Source organism: Homo sapiens, chromosome 7 (genome assembly GCF_000001405.40).
Source record: "Homo sapiens chromosome 7, GRCh38.p14 Primary Assembly".
NCBI classification, from domain to species: domain Eukaryota; kingdom Metazoa; phylum Chordata; class Mammalia; order Primates; family Hominidae; genus Homo; species Homo sapiens.
Window position 1 is genome coordinate 140,450,298 of NC_000007.14, and position 2,735 is coordinate 140,453,032.

A 2,735-nucleotide genomic window follows, 5' to 3' on the forward strand; every position below is an offset into this window, starting at 1 on the left:
GGTTGCAGTGAGTCGAAACTGCGCCACTGCACTCCAGCTGGGGTGATTGGAGCAAAATCCCACAAAAAAAGCTCATCACTAGAACCTAAAAAATGCTTTTATTTGCTCAGGTACTGTGTGGTGTTATTTCTTCTATACACTGATGAGGGGCTGAGATAAAGACCTAGTGAACTAAACAAAGTGCCCAGGCTAGTTCTGGGGAAGTAAGATCTGAGGCATATTCTATTATCAGCAATGGATCTCTTCCTGTCATTCAATACAAAGGAATAAGCGCTGTCTTAAGACAATTTGCAACAGAGCACTTCCTTTATCAACACTGTAAACTTGTTTAAAGGTTTGTGAAATAAGTCCTGGACACTGAAAAGTAATAAAATACGGCCACTGCATGAGAGTGAGTTTGTATTAACCACTTCAGATGAACAAGTATGTTTTTAAAAATTATTTCTCAGCCGGGCGAGGTGGCTCATGCCTGTAATCACAGCACTTTGGGAGGCTGAGGCAGGCGGATCATGAGGTCAGGAGATGGAGACCACCCTGGCCAACATGGTGAAACCCCATCTCTACTAAAAATACAAAAAAAGTAGCTAGGCATGGTGGCATGCACTTGTAGCCCAGCTACTCAGGAGGCTGAGGCAGGAGAATCACTTGAATCCGGGAGGCAGAGGTTGCAGTGAGCCAAGATCGCGCCACTGCACTCCAGCCTGTTGACAGAGCAAGACTCCGTCTCCAAAAAAAAAACAAAACACAAAACAAAAAAAAGGATTTTGCTTAATTTTCCTTATAAAATGACAGCTTAAACAAGATTTCAAGACAGGGCAGGCTGTTTGGCTCAGTGGCTTCTCACCCCAAAGGTTTATGGGTTGCTCATATTCCATGTCCCTCATGGGTTAACTAAGTGTACCAGCATGGTGACCCAGGCTGGTAGAACAGCCACTTTGCAAAATTTACCAATTGCCTGGAAAGAGGATCACGTATGGGATCTTAAACTTTCATCTGGCAATGACACTTCTCACATTTCAGCCTAGGTAAGTCAGCTGGGCCTTGCAATTGAACCACGAAGCCACAAAGCAGGGTTGGAAATCTGTTGCCAGTACTATGACTACCATTTCAATATCTACCTTTATCAATATCAAGCCTCTTTCTCCTCCTTTATCAACTACCTTTATTAATATCAAGCCCCTTCTCTCCCCCAAATCACTGGCATGATGTGAAATCACTTATTGTGTACAGTGGCAGGGAAGAGGCTGAAATTGTAGTTTTGTGCAAATGAGAAGGTGAGACGTTCCACCCATCAATGTTTACACCTCAGCTTCTTTTGCAACAGGCAATTAACACTTGGGGAAAGAAGAGAACTCGCTCTCAATGCAGCCATTGAGGGTAGCAATCCACATTACAGACTACTCGGACTAGTACAGAAGCTTCCACTGCCTTTTCCAAGATACAAAAGAGTTGCTCTAAACATACACTTCTCTCCATCCCAGAAGTGACCAACTGCCACTCCCTGGACCTTGCTATCCCCCTCTCCCTGTTGCAGATTCAGATATGCAAACGATGCTTCTTCCTACTTTCCAGAATTGCTCAAGGCTCTCTCCACCTCCTAGCTCCAGCACTCCCAACCCATTCTCAGGCTCTTCCCCATCCCTCTGCATGTCCCCAGCATAGCCTGACTGGTACACCTGAGGGTGGACTTAACTCCCCTGGGAGTTAGCTGCTGGGCTACAAGCTTACAGAAACAGACCAGACTACTCAGTGGATCCCCAGTTGTTATCATGACCACAGTATAAGCCCACTCAGAAATGATTCCTAGATGTTTAAACATTTTCCGATAGCATTTTTTGAGTTGGAGTCTTGCTCTTTCGCCCAGGCTAGAGTGCAGTGGCGAGATCTTGGCTCACGCCACTCTCCTGCCTCAGCCTCCCGAGTAGCTGGGACTGCAGGGGCCCGCCACCATGCCCAGCTAATTTTTTGTATTTTTGGTAGAGACAGGGTTTCACCATGTTAGCCAGGATGGTCTCGATCTCCTGACCTCGTGATCCGCCCGCCTCGGCCTCCCAAAGTGCTGGGATTACAGGCGTGAGCCACCGTGCCCGGCCCCCATAGCACAAATTCTTTATTTTTTTCACTCTATTGCCCAGGCTGGAGTGCAATGGCATGATCTCAGCTCACTGCAACTTCCACCTCCCACGTTCAAGTGATTTTCCTGCCTCTGTAATCCCAAAGTGCTGGGATTACAGGCGTGAGCCACCGCACCCAGCCATAAATTCTTAACATAAATACTAAAATCGAGGAGCAGTTATTTTTACAAGTGTGGAAAAAAGGTCACCTGAAGGTCTTCCATGGGAGTAGCAGAATGGTTCTTACTCACAAAAAATTCACAATAATGAAAACTCCTTAAAAATTCACGAAATAATTATGCAGAACAATAAGCTTTCAAAATACAATTATATTATGACCTTCCCCCGTTATCTAAGGGCATGAAGCAAGTTCAACCGCAAGTGCATGGTAGCAGAAAACTGCCAGTGCCTTTTGCTCAACAGGTGGCCCAGCGTTAGTCTTGAACATTTTCAAGTATAGGATTGTTTGATGACCCCGGCTAGTTAAGGTTTCCCTTTCTCTCTCACACACATTTCTCAAAGTACCTATCCTCCCGAATATCCGACAAGGGACCGATCGAAGAGTCAGTGAAAGAAAAACATCATTATTCTTTGACATCGGCACATTTCAAAAACAGCTCA